The sequence below is a fragment of the Homo sapiens genome, chromosome 1, assembly GCF_000001405.40.
Source record: "Homo sapiens chromosome 1, GRCh38.p14 Primary Assembly".
NCBI classification, from domain to species: domain Eukaryota; kingdom Metazoa; phylum Chordata; class Mammalia; order Primates; family Hominidae; genus Homo; species Homo sapiens.
This window is the reverse complement of record NC_000001.11, coordinates 7,358,730-7,382,143: the sequence shown is the minus strand read 5'-3', so window position 1 is coordinate 7,382,143 and position 23,414 is coordinate 7,358,730. Positions and strand designations below refer to the sequence as shown.

Below are 23,414 nucleotides of genomic sequence, written 5' to 3'. Positions count from 1 at the left end.
CAATTGCATTCTGGCCAGTAGGATACAGGCAAAAGCGTTGTTCTCTCCTTTCCTGCTGGCTGGAATGCAGGCACTATGGCTTGAACTCAAGCAGCTATTTTGTGCCATGAGGTGAAGGCTATCTATTGAGGACAGTGGTACTGCATTATTGGAGGCTGGGACTCTAATGAGCAACCAGTTGCCCAGCCAGTTCTCAACCCTCTAACCAATCGTTTCCCAGGTAGAAAAATCACCATCACTGGCCATCAGAGAAATGCAAATCAAAACCACAATGAGATACCATCTCACACCAGTTAGAATGGCGATCATTAAAAAGTCAGGAAACAACAGGTGCTGGAGAGGATGTGGAGAAATAGGAACACTTTTACACTGTTGGTGGGACTGTAAACTAGTTCAACCATTGTGGAAGTCAGTGTGGCGATTCCTCAGGGATCTAGAACTAGAAATACCATTTGACCCAGCCATCCCATTACTGGGTATATACCCAAAGGACTATAAATCATGCTGCTATAAAGACACATGCACACATGTGTTTATTGCGGCACTATTCACAATAGCAAAGACTTGGAACCAACCCAAATGTCCAACAATGATAGACTGGATTAAGAAAATGTGGCACATATACCCCATGGAATACTATGCAGCCATAAAAAATGATGAGTTCATGTCCTTTGTAGGGACATGGATGAAATTGGAAATCATCATTCTCAGTAAACTATTGCAAGAACAAAAAACCGAACACCGCATATTCTCACTCATAGGTGGGAATTGAACAATGAGAACACATGGACACAGGAAGGGGAACATCACACTCTGGGGACTGTTGTGGGGTTGGGGGAGGGGGGAGGGATAGCATTGGGAGATATACCTAATGCTAGATGACGAGTTAGTGGGTGCAGCACACCAGCATGGCACATGTATACGTATGTAACTAACCTGCACAATGTGCACATGTACCCTAAAACTTAAAGTATAATAATAAATAAATAAATAAAAAATAAAAAAAAGAAAAATCAAACCGTCTTATTTAAGTCACCGCTATTATGATGTTTTCGGTCACTTGCAGCTGAACCTATCTTAATACAGCCTGTCTGACTCCAGAGCACATTTTCCTAACCACTTTCTTTAGAAAGCAGCTTATCTTTGCCATCCTTGCATGACCTTAGGGCATTATGATAAAACCCTTGGCACAGAGTCTGGCTCAGAGTGAGTGCTCAATAAATTCCAACTAGCCACTGCTCTCATTGTCCCGTGGCCACTGCTGCTGCTGTTCACAAGCATGTGCCACCCTGACAGCTTTGCTTAGCAATCCAGAATGATCAGATCAGCTGGGTGGACCAGGCAAGGTAGTTTTCATAGAGCCCAAAGTGCCTAACCCTGCCTGGCATCAGAAGGGAGGACTGTTTGTTATCTTGGCTCCAGAAAGACTCTTCAAACTATTTCTACCAATACTGTATTTATGCCACATTCTTACTAAGACCTGATGGAACTAGGCCCTAAAGAGGAAGAGTGGCCAGAAGTGGTGAAATCTGATCCAACTGGGCAACCTTCTTTTCTTTTCTTTTTTTTGAGACAGAGTTTCGCTCTTGTTGCCCAGGCTGGAGTGCAACAGCATGATCTCGGCTCACTGCAACCGCCATGTCCTGGGTTCAAGCAGTTCTCCTGCCTCAGCCTCCAGAGTAGCTGGGATTACAGGCATGCGCTACCACGCCTGGCTAATTTTGTATTTTTAGTAGAGACGGGGTTTCTCCATGTTGGTCAGGCTGGTCTCAAACTCCCGACCACAGGTGATTCACCTGCCTCAGCCTCCCAAAGTGCTGGAATTAGAGGCGTGAGCCACCGGACCCGGACTTAACTGGGCAACCTTCCTTGGGATACCAGAGGAGAGGGACGTGCCGGGCAAATGGACAGTCACTTTCTGAGCCTACAGGAAAACTAACCCCATGGGCTCCTGGGAAATCCTCTTTGAAGAGCCAGATTTGCATATAAATAATAGGTATGTTAAAACATATGATGTCTGGATTTGGTATTCATCCTAAGAGTTGAATGCACAATTTGTAATAATTTCCTCAAATTCTAGCAATGTTCCTGCAGACCCTGTCTTCAGCACTGGCATTGGGCAATTAATTAAATTGCCATTATCCTCCACAAAGTGATGACTACTGATTAAGAACAGCCCTTTTTCTCCACCGCTCACTTGGCAGTCCTGTTTCTGCCTGGCCGCAGCCTCAAGTCTCTGCTCCATGGCGCAAGGCAGACGCACGCAGACAGGCTTTGTCGGTTCGCTGATGTGTGTTGTTTGGAAAATGAGAACACAAGGAAAGCTGTCCTTAGGAGGAAGAGGCAAGGAGAGGCATCGGGAGGCCAAGAGATCAAAGCGAGGTGTCAGAAACAAAGACAGTGAAGGAGTTCAGTCCCCTTTTAATGCTGCCTGCCAGTTCAGACGGCCACTGCCCTTGCCTTCTAGGGAATTCTGCTGGTTAAGAAGCTCAGACAAGCCCCAGAATGCCCCGATGAGGACGCAACAGGAAGACAATCCATAGACAGAGAAAGTGCTTTGTTTTACGGTTTCCTGGGCACTGACACCAGCAGCCTTTTCTGCCAGCGGTTTGAAATACGAGACGCTGGTGTTTTTTCCCGGCTCCCTGAATTTAAATTACATCACCAAAGAAGAAACTTCCCGAAGGAAATGAATCTCTGCAGATAACGATCCCTCACAATGGATTCAAATTGTAATAAAAATATAACTTGAATGTTAAAGGTGAATTTCAATTAAGGATTCCATCACATATTTTGCTCCAGACCACAATAAAAAAACTTATTTCACTGCCAACAGCAAGTCTCCTGCGACATCTCTTTGAAAATCAACTATTTTTGAAAGCTAAGTTAGAAAAACACATGTGCTCTAGGGTATAAAGAAAGCAGCATTGTGTATAAATTGTAATACTGAGAGGTAGATCTTAGTATATTGACATTATAAAAACTGGGTAGCAATGGGAAATAATATTTTTACAAAGGTGCCAAACATAAATGCCAGACCTGCAGGCAAATTTATAGACTCTGTCATGCATGGTGGCATTTCACCATCAGGTGCTCAAGAAAGCCAGGGAGGAGGGTGCCTGCAGGTGCCACCCTGAGGCGCACAGGCCACTGTCAGGCCACCCAGGCAAGTCAGAGACAGAGTGGGGATGGGGATGGGGTGCCTCGAGGAGCCGGTGCAAGATATGAGCTAAGGAAAAGCTGGAATAAAGTCCCTCCCAGGAAGCCCTGGCCCCTGGGTCCCCACTTTAAATGCACCTGCTGGGCCCACAGGCCTCATCCCCCACCAGCCCCATAGTTTAGTGCGGCCTCTGACTCGGTCTCCGATTTTTTTTTAATTGAAGTAAAATTCACATATCATAAAATTCACCATTTTAAAGTGTACAGGTCAGTGGATGTTAGGATGTTCTCAGCTGTGTAACCATCACCACTGTCTAGTTCTAAAACATTTCATCACCCTGAAAGGAAACCCCATTCTCCTGAAGCAGCCCCTCCCCACTCCTCCCTGCCCCCGGCCCCAGGCAACCACCCACCCGCTTTCTGTGTCTGTGGATTTGCCTGGACGTTCACATAAATGAAACACACCATGTGCGGCCTGCTGCGACTGACTTCTTTCACTCAGCAATACGTCCTCAGGTTCATCCTGGTGGTAGCGTGGGTTCATACTTCATTCCTGTTTATGGGTGAATATTATTCCATCGTATGGATAGAGCACATTTTGTTTATTCCTCTGTGGAGGGACTTTTGGGTTGCTTCTTGCTTTTGGCTACTCTGATTATGTAACACGGCTTCCTCTCTCTCTCTGAAGCTAGGATCTCTCTGGCAGAGCACACAGTTAGTTACATACAAGGCCGTCAGGCTTCTTTGGCTGAATGGCTACAGGAATAGCAGGTGCTACAGTGCATAGATCAACTGCCCTCCAGCACTTATGTAAAGCTCACTACAATTGGGAGAATTTCCTCTAACACCATCTCCCAGGACAGACTCAGATGTGTCTGAGTGAGGGGTTTGCGAACTTGTTCTGTAAAAGGCCTTTTCTGTACATCTTTTTGGCTTTCTAGGCAATACTGTCTCTATGGCGCCTTCTTGATTCCGCCATAGTCTTGGAAAAGCCACACAATATGTAAACAAATGTGCATGGAGGGGTTCCAATAAAACTTTATTTTTTTAATTATTATTTTTTTGAGACAGGCTCTCACTCTGTCACCCAGACTGGAGTGCAGTGGTACAGTCTCAGCTCATTGCAACCTCTGCCTCCCGGGTTCAAGCGATTCCCTTGCCTCAGCCTCCCCTGTAGCTGGGATTACAGGTGCACACCACTATCACTCGGCTAATTTTTGCATTTTTAGTAGAGACAGGGTTTCACCATGTTGGCCAGGCTGGTCTCGAACTCCTGACCTCAAATGATCACCTGCCTCGGCCTCCTCAAAAACCTTTATTTTTAAAAGCAGATGGTGGACTGGATTTGGTTCATGGGCCATAGTTTGTCAATCCTTAGTCTAAATGAATTGTATCCACTAGCTGCAGTGATTGGTTCAGGAGGTCAGAGGACCTAAACAGATCCAGAGCGAAACCTCGGACTTTTTACCCAATGGTTGGGAAAAGAGAGGTTCTCTCTTCTTTAGGACAGTGGAGAATATCTGGGGCCTGAGATGACTACAGTCATTTTACTAACACAGGGAAGTCGGCCTGAGAATAGAGAACAGTAAGGAGGAGGGAGGCATTGAAAGAATCGCAGGACAGGGCCGGACTCTTGGTTGAGCCATGCCAGAGGTCCCCTCTACACCTGGCCTTTTCACTGCTGCTCTTACACATTTATTACTTGTCTGTCTCCCCATAGCGAGGACGGTGTTAATTGCTGCTGTATTCCCAGTGCCTTGCGCTTTTTAAGTCCCTAGTAAATGCTTGAATGAATGAACTCTGGGAGGTGGTCAGGTCTCTCCTGGGGTAGAGAGGTGAAGGGGGCCCCTCAGCCCTCGGTCAGGCGAGTGCTCCCTATGTGTTGGGACTGGGTTGGACAGACTAGATTTGGTCTAAATTAATTGTATTAATTAAATTAATGTAGAGTGGAGCTTGAGTGCCATCTTGCCTGGGCAGAGCACTTTTCAGAATGGACATGCAGCAGGGGTCCAGCACTTCCAGACAGATCCGAATCTGTGATCCGGTCTGTGATCTCATCCATTAGAGCCTTTGGACACAGGCTGAGGACAGACTAGCTCCCAGGGAGCAGCCTATCTGAGAGGTCATTTTGCTCACATAGGCAAGGGCTGGGGACAAATGTTAACCAATCCTGGGCAGACAGTACCATTGGCTTCCATCTCCAGGGCAAAAGAGACACCAGTGTTGAGACAGGGGAAGACGTCGGACAGAGCCAGGTTCAAGTCCTAGCTCCACCATCCTCCATGTTCACAACCTGGGGCTACAATTTTGATCTCTTCCAGTCTCTAGTATGAAATGGGTGTGATGACACTTACCTCTTAGGAGGGCGGTATCATCCAGGAATAGAGGGAGGACAATGAAGCCCAGCTAATACTGACCCCTTCTGCTGCATGAGTTCACTGGTATGGAACGTCCACACTGCTGGACTCACTAAATTAGGCACTGCTTATACTCTGTCTCCATAGATGCTCCAGGGAATTGGGCCAGGGTCTCCAGGATGACAGCACACCTTGGCTCACGTGTATGTGTGGTGGCAGGTACAGTCTCCTCGCGAGCCCCCTGGAGCTAACTAGCTTCCTTTTTGCAGCTGAGGACTAAATGCAATGCAGAGTTCCACTTAGATGCTCCCTGAGCAAGCAGGCAGATGCCAAGGGCCAGAGCAGGGCCATGTGCTGGCCAGTTATGCCCAGGCCCTTCGAGTTGGCAGAGACAGCGAAAATAAATACATTCATAACCAAATAAATAAATGAAGAGCTGCCTTCTTACTATTCATACTTCTGCACTTTGAAACATTTCTAGATGGAGGTGGCCAGGATGCTATAAATAAACAAGACCCAAGGGAGCCCTTAGGTGACCTTGAAATATTTATTTGGCCTCCCTATTAGTGTTTTAAAAACTGAGGACTCAGGGGCTCTTAGTCTGAGGGAAGCGAGCTGGTGAGGCAGCTGGGAGACCCCTTGGTAGGCCTGCCTCCTGATAGGAAGGGCCCCACCTGGGAAGAGCAGAGTGGCCCTTGCCCCAGTCCGCTGCTTCCTGTCCTACAGGGTACCTCTCCCTGCCCCCTTCTGTCCACCCTGTCTCTGTTGACAAAGGGTGACTTAGAAGAAGCCAGCTCTATAAAGCTTTAATGTTTGCATTAATTAATGGAAAGGCCTTTATGGTAGGAAATATCCAATTCTCACATTCACAAACAAACCTGAGTCTAACATCTCTTGCCTGGAATCGAGGCCCCAGTATTTACTGCCATCCTCCAGCCTGGGTAACCATGGGGACACAGGTCCCCTAATCAGTGGTGCCAGCCTGCACAGGGGAAGGCCCGGCCTGTTGCTGCTCCAGACGGGAAGATGGGTTTTGATGGCTGAACACCTCAACTCCCTTGCCTGTCCCCACGGGTGTTGGTCCCAGGGCTGGCATTTTTTCCTTTCTCTGCCAACACACCATGTGCGTCCGCCTCAGTCCCCCAGTGGCAACCAGGTGAGTGCATAAGGCCAGTTGCCATAGCAACAATTACTCTTTGAAACAGGATTTTGCTCCTGCCTGGTGAGGTGATTCAAGGGCCCCACTGGAGTCTCTAGGGTGTGGCCAATGGTGGTTTCGGGTCAGGGGCTGGGTTGGGTAATCCTTGTTATTTGGTTGGAAGCTGAGGACAATGGCCCTGCATGCACTGGCGTCCTCTCTAAAATGTGCCCCACGGTGCCCTATCTCCCAGAAGCTCATCTCAACTCCTAATGCCCCAACACAAAGGACCCAGCCACAGATTCATTCATCCTCTGCTTCTAGAACCTTCTAGGAAAAAGTAGCTCTACCAAGGAGCCCTGCAAGCACCCTGCAGACAACCCCAGGGGATGCAGGGAAGAAACGAAACAGTGTTTCATCTCTGGGTCTGACCTGGCTGGGCTGGTGGCTATCTGCTGGTTATCGCATCCACCAGGTTAGCCCAGGGCTACTTTAACAGGACCCAGCCCCACTGCTCTACCAGGGTGCAGCCATTGAAAGCGAGAAGCATTGTAGGGTGAAGGCTATATGGGCAGCTCTAGATGGTTGTTTTGGCTTCAGATCCTGGTCCCGCTGCCGACTAGCTCTGCGACCAGAAGCCACGTGTCTCATCTCTGAGCTTCATTCCCTTGCAACGTGGGGGTAATAACAGCATGAATAGTGAGTGGCCTAGAGGCTGGTAAGAAGCCCAGAGAGTTCCTTGAGCCCTCACTTCCACGCACACAACTCTCCAGTGTCCTGGTATCTGGTGAGCGTGCATGCCCATTGCTCAGGGGTGCCGCACGCCTGCTTCCTTATATTTGGCTCCTTGTAAAGGTAAGGCTAGAAGCCATCCACCAATAGGTGTGGCATCTCTAGAGCCATTAATCTGTTCCAAGGTGCTGGAAGTCTCCAATCTTCTTCCCTTCCACCCAGGCAAGGCTGCAATGGAGCAAACTGCTAGGCAGAATTTTTTGTCATTGTTGGCGGCCCCTCCTCCTCTCCCCATGCCTGCGTCCTCTGCTAAGCAGCAGGCTGGGCTCTTTTCTCGTTTGCCCTAGGATTGCAACAATTCCCTTTTGTGTTGAATGTGAAAGTTCTTCCATTTCCAGTTTGAAGCTATTACTCTTATTTTCCCTCTCTCAGCAGTCTGTGAATTTTCTAATACGGAGAAAACAAGAGCAGGCATGCATACATGCTCACAACTTTGCCCATCCCTGAGTTGTGGTATTGAATAAGGGCTCTATTCGAATTTCACCTCCACGTAGAAAGGAGCGTTTGGGACCAGGCGCACTGTCTGTGCTGAGATGGGCAGTTTTCCATCAGGGGCCCGGCTGCTTCCTGGGCAATTTGTCAATGACGTGTACTAACTCCGGACTTCCACCACAGGCTGTGGTTGCCAGTGAGGCGGGGAGGCAGGCTCTGGGTCCTTCTCCCTGGGCAGGAGCCACCAGTCAGGATCCTTCTTGCTCTTCCTGACTTTGCCAGGCTCAGAGCAGCCGGTCGCTCCTGTTCATCCCATCCATGGGAGCATTCTTTATTACCCAAGGAAATTGAGGATGTCCAATAGTGAGGGAGGAATAAATCATTGTTCTCAGCTAAATGGAGTAGTGCAGATCTGCTGAAAATGCTGCCTTTTATCAACAGTGCAAATAATGAAGATTCCATGCACTGAGAACAATGAAATGAGCCACTGCACTATTGATGGGGTATTTGTACAACTCTGTGAGTTATGTTTCAAAACCAGGCTCTATCAAAGATGCAGAACCTTTTTCAGAAGCAAAAAGACTAATATTGCTCTCCAAATAATTTATAAGTTTCCCCACAAGGCAAAAAAGCAAAGTTGTCTGGAAGCAGGTGATCATTGTTTTGGGTTTCCTGTTGTCTCTTGGCTCCTCTGCTCTGTGGGACTCAGAGTGAGTCTGAGTGCAACCTTCCCCCGCTGCAGTGTGGAGGCCACGTAGCCACCACCCTACAAGGCTTCCCCCGAGTAGGGGAGAGGCGGTGGACTGAGGTGGAGCACTCCCACCCATCTGCGCACAGTGCCTAGGCCCACGTCTCACTTCATTCAGTCGCAGCCAACTCGGGGCTCCCTGGGGCTGGGGGAACTGAAATCCACAGCGAATCAAATCCTGGGCTTTAGCAAAACCCTTGCTTATGCTGGAGCTTTGGCAGCTCCAGCGACATTTAGCAAAGTCTGGAGACTTGCTTAGCAGTCACGACTGGCAGAGACGGGGTACTACTGGGTAGAAATACTCCAGGAGGTGGAGGCCAAGGATGCTGCTGCATGTCCTACAATGCACAGGACAGCCCCCCACAACCAAGAATGACCCAGTGCCATGGCTGATAGAGCCAAGATTGACAGACTCTGCACTAGAATCACCAATTCATTTCTTCCCCTGGTTCCCATGCCTCCTGCAGGCTACATGTTGGGGTGGAAGGAGCTGGCAAGAACCTGTGGAGCTTCTACGGTGACACCAGGTTGGTGACAGAGCTCTGAGTAAAGGCACTGTGGAAGCACTACCTGGTTGGCCCAGGGCCACTTCAATGGGGCCTGGCCCCTTTGCTCCACCAGGGTGCAGCCATTGAAAGGGAGAAGCATTGTAGGATGGTGGCTATGCGGGCGGCTCTAGATGGCTGTTTTGGGTTCAGATCCTGGTCCTATTGCCGACTAGCTCTGCAACCGGAAGCCACGTGTCTCATCTCTCTGTGCATCACTTCTGTGCGACAGGGTAATAAGAGCACATGGGGCTCCAAGGCTGCTGTGGGTATCAAATTAGCTCCTACACACAAAGCACTCATGGCAGCGCTGGCACGGGGCTCCATCACTGTGGCGATTGTAATTATTAACACTGACGGTGATGAAGTTGATTGAGAAACACAGAGACGTGTTCACGGGCAAGGCTACGTAATAACGCGAGATGCCCAATCACGGGCCCACTACGTCCGCAGCTGCTCAGTGATCAGCCTGCAACAGACCCAGCCCAGGAAAGACGTGCAGCTCGACTAGACGGTGGGGTAGGATGTGGATACTTTTGAGCTTTTGAAAAAGAAACTGCATGCTAGTTTAACTAAACAACAAACAAAAAACTAAACACATACAGCAAGGATACTCACAAAAATCTCACCAACATTTTCAGTCTTACCTAGATTTGTGCTTATTGGCATCAAGCAGGTCTGTGCTGTCCCCTAAAGGACCTGCAATGGCCTCACCCATATTGCACGAAGGAGAGCAGCTTCTGAAGGGCAAGGATGGGCTCTGGCGGTGGCTGGAGATTAAGGGAGGTTGGGGAGGGATTTAGGATAGGAGGACGGCTAAGCCTGGCAGCCTCAACCCAGGAAGACCTGGCTGTTCTTGACACTGTGAGCCCAAGCCACACTACTGGCGTAGAAGCTTCAGGGAGAGGTCAGAGCCCGGGTGGGGCAGGGGTGCAACAGTAAAGAAGAGAGGTGCACGCTCAGCCCAGGACTTCCCCAGGCTGGGTCTGGACTCCAGGAGTTTTGCTCCATCTCAGCCACTGGCCAGTTGTGTGATCTGAGATGATGCAGAACCTTCCTAGATCTCAGATGTCATCAGATGCCCAGAGGGCCACCCTCTACTTCCTAGTCATGGTAACCAAAAATGTCCCTGGAGTGGGGGGACAAAATCATCCTCAGTGGAGAACCACTGAACCAGAAGATTTCAGGATTTCTTCAGCCCTAAACTGAAGATCATGGAAACGGGTTCATCTGTCAAATGAATGTCGGGGATGTGGGCAGATTTCTGCAGGCAGCTGCTGCACCACCCACAGAGGCCGGGCCATTCCTGAGAACTCTCACACTGTGTTGAGCCATAGAAACTCCTGAGCACCTTTGATGAGGACGGCCAGGAAACTCTGAAATACAGACAGGGCGATAGAAAACATGGAGTGTGGCTGGGCATGGTGGCTCATGCCTGTAATCCCGGCACTTTGGGAGGCCGAGGCGGGCAGATCACCTGAGGTCAGGAGTTTGAGATCAGCCTGGCCAACATGATGAAACCCCATCTCTACTAAAAATGCAAAAAAAATTAGCCAGGCGGGGTGGCAGGCGCCTGTAATCCCAGCTACTCAGGAGGCTGAGGCAAGATAATCACTTGAACCCAGGAGGTGGAGGTTGCAGTGAGCCGAGATACGCCACTGCACTCCAGCCTGGGTGACAAAGCAGGACTCCATCTCGAAACAAACAAACAAACAAACAAACAAACAAACAAAACCCAGAGCATTAGAAAGTGCCACATCCAGGCCAGGCACGGTGGCTCACGCCTGTAATCCCAACATTTTGGGAGGCCGAGGCAGGAGGATCACAAGGTCAGGAGATCGAGACCAACCTGGATAACACGGTGAAACCCTGTCTCTACTAAAAATACAAAAAATTACCTGCGCGTGGTAGTGGGCACCTGTAATCCCAGCTACTCTGGAGGCTGAGGCAGGAGAATGGTGTGAACCTGGGAGGTGGAGCTTGCAGTGAGCCGAGATCGCGCCACTGCACTCCAGCCTGGGCGACAGAGTGAGACTCCGTCTCAAAAAAAAAAAAAAAGAAAGAAAGAAAAAGAAAGTGCCATATCCCAGGACCCAGGGCAATAATGGCGGGCTCTGAAAAATCATGTTTGGTGGGAAGGACAAGGGGGATATAGACATGTGACAGTCGGAATGTGTTTTTAATGAAATGTAAGAATGGAAAATTTGCCTTATTTCTCAATTGATATATCCATTTATGTGGCATGTGATTTTAAATATATCTGAGTAAATGCATTCAAAAATAGCAAGAAACCCAAGAACGCCGACTATCAAAACCCCTCCCAACCACACTTTTCTTTCTCACTTAGCGATATATTAATCCTTGAACACTAATACGTGTCAATAAATAAGAGTCTGTGGAACATGAAATGTTAAAAGCCTTTCCAGGAATGTGTGTCTTCCCTCGAATACGACCCGGACAGTAATGGATTATTTTACTCCATTTCTGGATGTGCACGTTTCTTACATCGATTTTAAAACCCTTGGGTTCAAATGTACCTTATTACATTTTAAAGTCTTTGGATTGTAGCAGAAAAACGTTCTGCACTATAAAACACAGAGCATAGTTGGGGTTTGATGGGTTTGCTTCTATTTTCTACCACACAAAACGCTTTCTAAATGCCATTAAAATTTAGCATACACCATAATAACCAAGCTGCATTGTTCCATGTTTAAGTCAATTGACTTCTGAGTTTTATTTCTTCATATACATCAAATCAAATAAAGTTGCTGCTGTAGCAAGAGGTGAGGACATGGCTGCTGTTGTTGGGTGGACCAGTCCCTGCTGCCCCCGCGGAGAGCTGGCTGGGTGCTGGAGAGGCTGTGGAATGTGACTGTGATTGCTGCTGTCAGTCTGGAAAAGAGAGAAGTGCCGTGATGTAAGCAAGGGGCCTGAACGCCGCAGCAGGGACCCACGTCACCAGTGGGCCATGGCAAGGGCCTGAAGTACCTTGACCCGGGGTGAGAAGAGTCTATCAGGGAATAAGCCCGAATTTAGTTCCTAGACACTCTCCTACATAGTACTCTATTCAATCAAGAATTAACCTTACCCACAGAGAGGTCTGGGCTGTGCCCTGGGCTCCTAGGAGGGGACTGATCAGGTGAGAGTGTCTTTGGAGCTTTGGGCCATGCTCGAGAGTCTAACAATGTGATAAGGGGGTGTGTTTGGGGTCCCATGACCTCAGCTTGTCCTAGGCAGGGCTGGAGGCTGAAGACATGTGGGTAGCTAACCAGGTCTATGTGTGAGCCCCAGTAAAGACTGGGCACCAAGGCCCAGCGAGCTTCCTGGTTGGCGACACCGACACACAGGCTGTGGGGAGACGCTAGTGGTCCCACAACTTACCCATAGAGGATGGCTGGAATCCCCACCCAGAACCTGTCTGCACCCTACCCCATGTGTCTCTTCCCTCAGCTGATTTTAATCTGTGTCCTTTCACTCTGATAAGCCTTAACCACACGCATAACAGATTTCAGCAAGTTCTGTGAGTCCTTCAGTGAATTATGGAACCACAGAGTGGTCCTGCCCTGAATTTACACTTAGTGTCAGAAGCGAGGGTATGCTTGTGAATGACCCCCTCAAACTCTTACACTCATTAGGGCACCTCAAGTTCAAGTCTGAACTCTGTTCTTCCCCTAAGTAGCCAGATAAACTTAGGTAGGTTATTCAACTTCCTGACCTTCACGGATCTCACCTACAGAATGGGCAAGCTGTGACAGAGAGCTTCCTGCATTGGTTGTCCTAATTTCCAACCAACCATGACTCCTCCCTCTGCTCCTGGGCCCCCTTCAGACCATCCTCACTGAGGACACCACCCTACCTTCTCCAGGCCCCTGTGGTGGGGGAGGAGGAGGGGCAGGAAGCAACCTCCACACCCAGGACCTGGCCATCCTCTCCGGCCTCCAAACTCTCCCCTCTAGTCTTGGGCAACATGTCAGCTTTGACTGAACTCCCAAAAACAGAAGCAGAAGGAGGAAGGTGGAGGTACACTGTGCCACAGTGCAGTGTGACAGTCATGGTGCCATGGGAAGTCAAGAAGGCATAGTGACTGGCAAGGGCTTCGTGGCAGGACAGCCCAGGCTCTGTGGATGAGCAGCTGGATGACTCTGGGCAGGTCCTCATCTCACGTCAGGCTCATCCAATCATTTAACAATTTAAATTTAACAACATGTGCGGAACACCACAGCGAGCCAGGTACCACGGTGGGTGCTGAAGCTGCAGCAGCGTGCAAGACAGAAATGGAGCTACAGCTTAGGGGAGGGCAGACGAGAAAAGAAGAAAAGGCAGTCCAAGTGATGAGGGCCACCCAGAGCCACCCCAGAGCCACGCCATGGGTGCACACAGCGGGAACTCCTGTGCTAGTGGGGGTGGGGCCTGGGAAGGGGTCACTGACTGTGAGCTCACTCTGCTCAGCCATAGATGGGCAAATAGGACTGCTTTGTGTGCTAGGTATCTGCACCCAGTGAAACCATGAGTGCCCAGTGCCTGCGCCCAATGAAACCATGAGTGCCCAGTGCCTGCGCCCAATGAAAGCATGAGTGCCCAGGGCCTGCACCCAATGAAACCATCCATGCCCAGTGTCTGCACCCAATGAAACAATAAGTGCCCAGTGTCTGCGCCCAATGAAACCATGAGTGCCCAGGGCCTGTGCCCAGTGAAACCATGAGTGCCCAGGGCATACACCCAATGAAACCATCCATGCCCAGTGCCTGCACCCAATGAAACCATGAGTGCCCAGTGTCTGTGCCCAATGAAACCATCCATGCCCAGGGCCTGCACCCAATGAAACCATCCATGCCCAGCGCCTGCACCCAATGAAACCATAAGTGCCCAGTGCCTGCGCCCAGTGAAACCATGAGTGCCCAATGTCTGCGCCCAATGAAACCATGAGTGCCCAGGGCCTGCACCCAGTGAAACCATGAGTGCCCAGGGCCTGTGCCCAGTGAAACCATGAGTGCTCAGGGCATGCACCCAATGAAACCATCCATGCCCAGTGCCTGCACCCAGTGAAACCATAAGTGCCCAGTGTCTGTGCCCAACGAAACCATGAGTGCCCAGTGTCTGTGCCCAACGAAACCATGAGTGCCCAGGGCCTGTGCCCAGTGAAACCATGAGTGCCCAGGGCCTGTGCCCAGTGAAACCATGAGTGCCCAGGGCCTGTGCTAAATAAAACCATCAGTGCCCAGTGTCTCATGATCTGGGTCAGGGTGAGCACTCAGTGAATGACATCTATCGTGGTATTGGCATCCAAGGCCACAGACTTAGGCCACTTATTCTTGTAATGTCCCAGGAGTAGAGGAAATACCAGGAGAGTGCAGAGGGCCCAGAGCTCAGCTTGGCCCCAAATGCCAGGCATCAGCTCTCCCAGTGTTTCTCCAAAGGTGCCATCTCAATCCCTGCCCAGAGCCAGGTGCTGGCCAAGGATACAAGAGCCAGTGTCAGCTGCAAGGTGTTCAGCTCCACCTGCTGAGCCGGCCTCACCCATGCAATGTGCAACCACCCTAATGTGTTATGACAGGAAGGAAGTACAAGTAAACATAATAAATCTGGCCAAATGGCCATTATGATGTGGAGTGAGCAGGGCTGGGGACGGGGGCAGTCTGGTCTCCTTTATGTCAGGGGAGCTTATAGCTCTTTCGTTTTACCTGGGGCTCTGTTCTTTACAGCAAATTGGACCTTTCGCTCTGAAAGAAATAATTACTCTCTGAGGAGAAGAGAGCTGGCCATGAATGCTGATATGACACTCAATGTCACCTTGCCAGTCAAAAGAGGCTCCAGCTCCTTGGCTTGGGTCCCAGCCAACTCCCCGTCTCTTTCTCATAATGGAGGTCACCTCTCTATAGAATTTGTTGATGATCTCCAAAATGACAAGTTAGAAAGCTCCTGTCAGCAGGATATTTTTTTTTAAGAGGAAAGAATGGCACAGAGAGGGAGGCAGCAGGAGCCCTGGGGTGAGGAGAAGGGAAGGCCCCAGAGTGAAGCCAAAGGTCAGGTTTTGCATAACCAGACGCCAGGTGCCTGTGAAGTTCCATCCAAAATTAACTTCTGGAACCAGTGACCCAGACAGATGAGCTGTATCAGAAATCGGCTGCTCCCCCTTGTCCATTCCAGGGAGGGAACCCACAGACAGAGCTCAGGAAGCCAGCAACCAAGCTGGCGGGTTCCTGCAGTCTCCTGTCAACGCACAAGGCTGGCGCCAGTGCCCTCTGCAGCTTGCAGCCCAAGGGCCTTCACTTCAGACATGTGCACCGAGGAGCCGACTTGACTGGGCAAATAAAAATATCCACAGCTGTGCCATCAAAGACACATCAGTGGGGTGGGAAGAGCTCAATGTTATCATTAGCTCTCTGCAAGGAGAGAGCATCTACTTCATCTGCTGCAAATCATCTGCGGAGCAGGGAAATATTGGCCCTGGTGGTTGTAAATAATTCCATTTGCCAAGAGTCCAGAAAAGAATTCTAGCCACATGCACACTCACCCAGCATCAGCATGGGGCCACACAGCTATTCTGAGCTTTCTCCAAGGCAACCCGCGGCCTTGGAGGAGCAGCCCTGGAGAGAAGGGGGTCACCTCCCCTGTGTCCATGTGGAATATACCTCATGTGGAGCTCAGTGCGGCCAGGCAAGAACAGGGCAGGCAATGAGGAGGACAGGCAAGGTGGGCTCTACTGAGCAGGGTGTGATTGGCAAAGGGACGGAGATGTGCTGAAGACATCCCCTCTGCCCCTGGGAGTCACATGGCCACTCGCTGATAAAACTCCCCAAATCACACTGCTTTCTGGGTGCTGGTGAATTCCACCATCCATTTGACAAATATTTTCTGAGTGCCCCATGCCAGTCCCTGTGCCAAGTACATTGGGGTCACAGAGAACGGGCAGAGTCCCAGAGGAGGAGAAAGGAGCAAGTCACCAGGTAATATTCATGACACAGTGGGCTCGGCATGTGATAGTGCCAAGTGAGCCCAGAGGGCCATAGAGGACACCCCCAGGTTGGGGATTCAGACGCAGGAAGCTGATGACCCTGTGCGCGGAGGGAGCAGCCTCCAGAGAGGAGCAGGAGCTGCCCGGAGGAGTGCTTTCCACCCATCCCCACGTATTGCTCTGGGTGGAACCAGCTCCCCTGACTCCATCAGTCAGCAGAGAAGCCATATCTTGGACCCTATGCCCCAAGATCCCAGAATCAGTTCCTGGTGAAAAAAGCCAGAGCTGAAGTCTCAAACCAGTGGTAACGGGGGCTGCCTGTTTTGGCCAGAACTGTCATTAGAATCTTAGGAAGCAACTGAGCCAGAGGAAAAGAAAGGGATCATTCTCCAAGAAGGGGGTCCAGGAGGAGACTCCGGTGTCTCTACTTCTGCAGAGCTGCGCTCACTCTCCACCAGCAGGCCCAGGGAAGTCCACACCCAGGCGCGGGGCCTAGGGAAAGAAGACGCTTGGCTGCACGTTTATACTTTTAGAAGCATTAAAAAAAAAGGTCTGAAATTATTTTTTAAATATGAACAGGAGGTTTTAATCAGAACAGGAGAGAGGAATTCCTTTCCAGTAATAGCCCAGTAATAGCACTTCCTAAAGTAATGAGATTTCAGTATTCAACAATAAAATGTGATCTATTCAGGATTCTAGGAAATAAAACTCTAGAGATAATTCGAGGGTGATTTTCTGATGCCTGAATGGGTGTTATGGGTTCAGACCATCAAGCCCATCCACAGCGCAGCCACCAGGTGCTTGCTGCTCAAAGGCCTCCAGACAGAGGCTGGAATTCAGCGTCCACTGGGGCCTCCCTCCCGACAACCTCTGAAGACCACAGGTTGGTCCTCATGGGGTCCGGCCTCCAGGCCAAGTGTGAGCTTGGCTGGATGTCACAACTGCTCCCTGGGCTTGGACTCTGGGGAAGGTCATGGGAGGTGTTCTGCACTCTCTGGGATGACTCTCAGTCCTTCATCACCAGCCACACCGAGCCTAAGGACATCCACTACAGAAGCCCATGGCCACCGCCATTCCCCTGACTGGACTGATCTGAGAAAGCAGTTTGACAGGTGGCTCATTCATTCATTCACTCATTCATTCATTCATCCATTCACTCAGTATATACTGAGCCCTTGCTTTGTGCCATGGACTCCGACTGATTCTAGAAGCACTGTGTGGAGTGTTTTTATGGGGCTTATCCAAACTCCACAGACACGCATCTCTGCAGCCCCAGAGCCCACAGCACACTGGGATACCCTCTCCCACTGCCCAGAAAGCATCTCACGCATCCTACCTCTCACCTTCGACATCCCCTCCTCAGGGAAGCCTCCCACCATCCCATATCTGCAGCTGCAGCCTCCTTCACGCCTGCCTTCTAGCATAGGTTGAAGCTGTAATGACCACCATGCACTCATAGGTCTGATCTGTGTACAAGAAACCCAGGAAAGCAGTGAGCTAGGATTGTGCCTCTGCACTTCAGCCTGGGTGACAGAGCAAGAAAGTCCTTGTCTCAGAAAAAAAAAAAAAAGAGTCACAAGGGAACCTGTGTGCCCCCTCCTCCACCATGTGAGGACACATAGAAGGTGCCATCTATCAGGAACAGCCTCTTACCAGACACTAAATCTGCTGGTGTCTTGATCTTGGACTTCCCAGCCTCCAGAACTGTGAGCATTAAATGTATGTTGTTTATAGTTACCCAGTCTAAAGTATGTTGTTCTGGCACCATGCATGGACTAAGACACCTCGCTGGTCTCGCTGCCTGCAGTGTCCTCAGGATGTTGCACACCACCTGCATAGAGTCAGCACTCGATAAGCATTGTTTATGAATGAATGAAGTGACTCTAGAGTCATCCTGTGAGGCAGGGCACTGGCTAAAGGGACCACAGTTTCAGGAGTCAAGTGAAAAATCTGTTCTAACCCATGAGCTACCCTGGAAGAGGCACTCTCGGCTTTTCTGACCTCAGTCCCTCTCTGTAAGCTGATGGGGCTGGACTCTGGTTTCTCTGGCTTTAGCCCCCGTGACTTTATGGTTCTGTGACTCTCTATCAGGCATCTGTTCCCAAGTGTTCCCGGTCCCTGGGATACTCTGGCTTGCTATGCCTTTGAGGGGGGCTACCAGGGTGAAGCAGGTTTAGTAGAGGGCAGATCTACAAATGCTTATTGGAGAAACACCCCTCACCTGGCCAGCTAACCACAGCGCTGCCACACTCCACTCATGGAGAGTCCTTGCTGGGGTCAGCCAAGCCTCATCACAGCCAAGATGAGACACACACCAGATGCCCTCCCTCCTGCACTTGGTGGCCAAAAATAGACCTGCTAATCACGGGGCTTAAATCCTTCTGAGGGTCCCAGAGGCAACCACACAGGCCAATCGTTCCGATGTCACCCATCCTGTGAAATGTCACTCACTGGCAGGAACCAAACCACCTGATTTGCAAACTGCTATATCCTGAAAGCCAGAAGACAGCGTAAGAGGAAGGATTAAGTGAAGTTCGGCTGACAGATGATGTTCTACAAAAGGTCACCCCCAGATCATTCCTCCATCCATTATTTATTAACAACCTCCGAGACACGAGTGTTACATCAAATGTCCTGCAACGGGAAGATGATAAAGTAATATTTTATAGCTAGAGCCCTCTTAAAGGTGTTAACAAAGAGCTTACAAAGTGATTTCAATGTGTTACAAAATAATTTGTTAAGAATTCACTGCAGCTGAACATTAAAAGAGATATTAATCACCCAGTGAAATGGATGCAAGAAAAACAGCCCAGCTCATGTCCATGAGTGATGTAACAAGTGGGCACCATGTTCCTGTTGATTTAGCACTTGGGTCAGACAAGGGCACAGTTCCTACTCACTCTCTCACGTTTCAAACTTGGTATCATGTCCCTATTTAAAAACTTCCGCAATGTCTTTCTTCTTCTACAGAGCACCTCTGCGAGCTAGAAGGGTTGGCATAAATGGTTATGTTCCACTAATTGTCTTTGCCCCACACGCATCAAGTCTATCCAAGTCCACCACCTCTACCCAAGTTCACTCGCTCTATTCAAGTCCATCAACCCTACCAAAGTCCACCAAGTCTATCCAAAGCCACCACCTCTACCCAAATCCACTCACTCTATTCAAGTCTACCAGTCCTACCGAAGTTCACCACCTCCACAGAAGTCTACTCAGTCTATTCAAGTCTACTAACTCTACCCAAGTCCACTAACTCTATTCAAGTCCACCAATCCTACCCAAGCCCACCACCTCTATCCAAGTTCACTGCCTCTACCCAAGTCCACCAACTCTATTCGAGTCCACCAGTCCTACCCAAGTTCACCACCTCTACCCAAGTTCACTCACTCTATTCAAGTCCACCAATCCTACCAAAGTCCACCAACTCTATCCAAAGCCACCACCACTACCCAAGTCCACCAACTCTATCCAAGGTCACCATCGGTACCCATGTCCACCACCTCTACCCAAGTCTACCAACTCTATTAAATTCCACCAGTCCACTAACTCTATTCAAGTCCACTAACTCTATTGAAGTCTACTAACTCTTTCCAAGTCCACTAACTCTACCCAAGTCTACTAACTGTACCCAAGTCCACCAACTCTATCCAAGTCCACCACCTGTACCCAAGTCCAATAATCCTATTCAAGTCCACCAGTTCTACCCAAGTTCACTAACTCTACCCAAGTCCACTAACTCTAACCAAGTTTACCAGCACTACCCAAGTCCACCAACTCTGCTCAAGTTCATCAATTCTACCCAGGCCCACCAATCATAAGAGAAATGCTAGTAAGACAGGATAAACATTAGTTATAAAGTCACATGACCAGGACATGAAGCAGGCAGGGCACATGTGTCAAGCCCTTGTGAAGACACTGGATCATTTGCAAGTAGGTGTGACCATTTGAAATTAGGCCTTCTGGCCCTGTCCAAGTATAGAGAAAATTTTCAGGGTTGGTTTTCTAAGACATATGTATGGATTATGGCCTATGCATTCAAGAAATATTAAACTCCTAGAGGGCAGATATCAAGGATTCTTCTTCAAAGAGGACCCCAGAAGGAAGGCAGCCCCAGGGCCTGAGGAATCAAATGACAGGTGCAGAAAGAGAGGAAAGGAAACAGAGGCTCAAAGATGATTAACACACAGGAATCCAGCTTGAAGGAAACTCGGTTTACGTTACTTGCTAAACAGATGAGTCGGGATAATCCCCACCAAGGCAGTTTTCACCCCAAATTTCTTTAACTAGTAGTGAGTCCTCTCTTGCATAAGAAATTTATTGCCATGCATAAAAGTTTAATGTACCCCCAACCTTCCAGGTTAATATTTATTGCATGAAATGAGATTCATCTTGACTTTTAAAAAAGTCACACTGTGGAAAAGTTGCTCAGGTGGCTGGGTACACAGGACCTGGATATTCTGGTTCCTTCTACACAGCTAGCAGGGAGGATCTCAGAAGTCCCTGAAGGAAGAGGATGTGGCTCCAGGAGGTGTCCCAGGCTTCTCCAGCCTCCCCTTCTGGTCTGGCCAGCTTTGACTCGCCCAACAAATGTCAGCTAGAAGGTCACCTCCCCAGCTTTTCCTGGCCACCAACTTCTCCCCTGAAGATTCCCTGGTTGACTCTTAGTTCCATGACACTGGGGACCAAATCTGTCCTGTTCGCATTGACCAGAATTGATGACAGGTCTGGCCCAAGCTCACAGCTCAGCAGATATCTGTTGAGCAAACGACTCAATGAATGTTCAGAGAGAACTGAGGACCCACCCTATTGTTCCATCCAAGGATGACGACTTGCCATGATGCAGGATCACAGATTCCAAATGAATATGGCGCCACTCCTATTTTGTTGCCCAAAGCAGCCCATTGGCCAGGCAGGCCGGCAGCAACGGAAGAGCCAAACTGAGCTTCTATTACTAAATCCTCTCCCTTCCCAAGGAAGAAACATCCAGAACAACACTCTAACACCCACAGCCCCGTTTTCCAGGGACAAGTCCATTAACAATGGCTGCTCTACCAGCCACCCAGGATCCTCAGCTGAGCACAGACAGATTTATGTGAAGCAGAAAACGACCCTATTAAGTTCAGCAGTAAACTCCCTTCATCCCAGCTGCTGTGTGTCCCGACTGCCAATTGGTGCAGGCAACTCCGGCGTGGAGAAAGTGGCAGGCGTGGCAGGAGAGGGATGGCCTCTTGTTCTCATCACACCTTCCCTTGCTGCAAATCCTTGCACCTGTGCAGGCCAGCACAGCCTGCTCACTCTGCCAGGCCAGAATGGGACAAGGCTAAGAGGGACAGGGTGAAAAGAAACAGCTCTAGGGACTACACAGTCCTGAGAGAGCCACAAAAGGCATGAGCACCTCCCATGCTCCTGGCACAATGTGGGCACACCGAGGCTTGTCATCTTTGACCTCATTTGATCCCAGATCAATCAATCCTCCAAGGTAGGTAGTGTTAACCCTATTTTGCAAACAGGGAACTGGGCTTTGGAGAAGTTAAGCCACTTGATCAAGGTCACCTGCTGGTGAATGGTAGACCTGAGATTTGAGCCTGATTCACAAGAGTGCAAAGACCATCTCCTCGGATTTACACTCCAGTGCATCAGTGTAGGGGTCCTGTCCTGGCATGGCTGTGGTGGGAATCACCTCCAGAACCTGCCCCAGGGCTGAGTCCCAGCCCCCATGTGAACAGGATGCACCTCCCTTTTTGTAGCTGTTATGGGTTGAGTCCCCTAACATTTACATGCTAAGTCCTAACCTCCAGTATCTCAGAATGAACCCTTGTTTGGAGACAGTCTTTAAAGAGGTAATCAAGTTAAAATGAGGCCTTAGGGTGGACACTAATCCAATATGACTGATTACTTATAAAAAGGTGGGGGTTGGACACACACACAGGGAGAATGCCACGTGAAGATGAAGGCAGAGGACAAGGTGATGCTTCTACAAGCCAAGGAACACTGAAGCACATGCCAGCAGCCAGGGGAGAGGCTCAAGACAGATCCTCCCTCCCAGCCTCAGAAGAAACCAGCCCTGCCCACACCTTGATCTGAGACTTTCACCCTTCAGAACCATGAGACAATGCACTTCCCATGTTTAAGCCACGCCGTTTGTGGTACGGCAGCCCTAGCAAACCAACCCACTAGCTCTGAAAAACCCCACGCAGACCCCACTTCAGAAGGGACAAGTTTCACCTTCCCTGCTTATCATGCAAACACCGCACCCTGTACCCTTTCAGAGCTTGTATTCCAAGAACACAGGCTGGAGCCCTCATGCCAGCTCTCAGGAAGCTGTTGCATCTGGGTATGGTCCACTGGCCCATCTGCAGACTGCCTCATGTCTGCAAATGACAATGCTCCAGAACATTTCCTGCTACAAAAGAGTGAAACACAAACTGCAGAAGGAGAGCAGGAAGAGGGAGCTGAATTCTAAGTAAAGGCTTCAAGAAAAGGTGCCGTCGAATGGGGTGAGGGATGAGGAGGATTGTGGTGCTAGGAGGATGGGCTGCCTGAGTCCTCTGCGTCCTGTTCACAGGGCCCAATGTAAAGGGCACCAAAGAGGCCAAGAGAAAACCAGGGGGTGGGGAGGGGCTCTCCAGCCTCACCAGAGCACAGTTTGGTGAGGCCAGCGATTGCCTTCTCTGTACTGGGAATGGTGCTGTCCAGGTGCCCAGCTCTTTTATGAAGCCTAGGACCCACTCAGCATGCCCTTCTCCATGGTCCCTGCACATGGCAGAGATGAGGAAAGGCTGGCTCCCCACTGACCCCTGGGTCTCCAGAGACTCACTGGAAAAGGGTCACCTGGTACCCATGACTGATAACAGGGCTTTATCGCCAGAGCAAGAGCAAATGAGACCACAAAGGACTCTTCCACCTGTCCCACCTAGAGCCCCTCTTATGCACGTGAGCCTGCTCCATCCCAGGCTCTGCAGACAGGGAAAGCCTCTAGAACTTTCTAGAAGGGAGGCTCCTACCTCCCAGTGTGCCACATGGGCTGCTGAAGGGTGAGATTTTATAGCCAAAGCTGCCAGGCTCCAGGGCCCCCAGGGCTGGAGGCTCCTCTGCTTCTTTCTCAACCCTTGCTGCCCATCAGAGATCCACTCCTTGGCATGGGGCTGAGGAGACAAAGCCGGGGCCACCCTGTCCATCCATAAACAACACATTCCACAGCAAGGAGCCCCATTAACAAGACTCCAAGGCCTCATTAGGTCTGGAAACAGCAACTTCCCCTGACCATGTGCCTATCAAGTCACATGAG

The 23,414-nt window shown here is 49.8% G+C and overlaps 1 protein-coding gene and 1 long non-coding RNA gene across 26 annotated transcripts in view, besides 5 other annotated features; both read right to left on the bottom strand.

Moving 5' to 3' along the window:
* Positions 1 to 23,414, bottom strand: part of CAMTA1 (calmodulin binding transcription activator 1) — a 984,253-nt gene that overhangs the window by 387,563 nt on the left and 573,276 nt on the right. Inside the window, exon 6 of one of the 25 annotated variants that reach the window (XM_017000780.3) lies at positions 11,874 to 12,063. The exons of the other annotated variants lie outside the window; for them this stretch is intronic. Within the exon in view, the coding sequence (XP_016856269.1) occupies positions 11,905 to 12,063 (159 nt within the window). The 3' untranslated portion in view covers positions 11,874 to 11,904. Of the gene's footprint in view, positions 1 to 11,873; positions 12,064 to 23,414 lie in introns of those variants that run through there. 25 annotated transcript variants of the gene reach the window in all.
* Positions 1,198 to 1,822: an enhancer, noted in NCBI's record as "H3K27ac-H3K4me1 hESC enhancer chr1:7440383-7441007 (GRCh37/hg19 assembly coordinates)". NCBI's record gives its function as "activates a minimal SCP1, AML or CMV promoter by ChIP-STARR-seq in naive H9 embryonic stem cells {active_cell/tissue: H9 hESC(naive)}" and the evidence as "EXISTENCE:reporter gene assay evidence [ECO:0000049][PMID:30033119]".
* Positions 1,823 to 2,449: an enhancer, noted in NCBI's record as "H3K27ac-H3K4me1 hESC enhancer chr1:7439756-7440382 (GRCh37/hg19 assembly coordinates)". NCBI's record gives its function as "activates a minimal SCP1, AML or CMV promoter by ChIP-STARR-seq in primed H9 embryonic stem cells {active_cell/tissue: H9 hESC(primed)}" and the evidence as "EXISTENCE:reporter gene assay evidence [ECO:0000049][PMID:30033119]".
* Positions 2,450 to 3,075: an enhancer, noted in NCBI's record as "H3K27ac-H3K4me1 hESC enhancer chr1:7439130-7439755 (GRCh37/hg19 assembly coordinates)". NCBI's record gives its function as "activates a minimal SCP1, AML or CMV promoter by ChIP-STARR-seq in primed H9 embryonic stem cells {active_cell/tissue: H9 hESC(primed)}" and the evidence as "EXISTENCE:reporter gene assay evidence [ECO:0000049][PMID:30033119]".
* Positions 3,076 to 3,702: an enhancer, noted in NCBI's record as "H3K4me1 hESC enhancer chr1:7438503-7439129 (GRCh37/hg19 assembly coordinates)". NCBI's record gives its function as "activates a minimal SCP1, AML or CMV promoter by ChIP-STARR-seq in primed H9 embryonic stem cells {active_cell/tissue: H9 hESC(primed)}" and the evidence as "EXISTENCE:reporter gene assay evidence [ECO:0000049][PMID:30033119]".
* Positions 8,182 to 8,682: an enhancer, noted in NCBI's record as "H3K4me1 hESC enhancer chr1:7433523-7434023 (GRCh37/hg19 assembly coordinates)". NCBI's record gives its function as "activates a minimal SCP1, AML or CMV promoter by ChIP-STARR-seq in naive and primed H9 embryonic stem cells {active_cell/tissue: H9 hESC(naive and primed)}" and the evidence as "EXISTENCE:reporter gene assay evidence [ECO:0000049][PMID:30033119]".
* On the bottom strand, positions 11,874 to 17,750 carry CAMTA1-IT1 (CAMTA1 intronic transcript 1). The gene has a single exon (XR_010947450.1). It is a non-coding gene; the product is annotated as a CAMTA1 intronic transcript 1 (long non-coding RNA).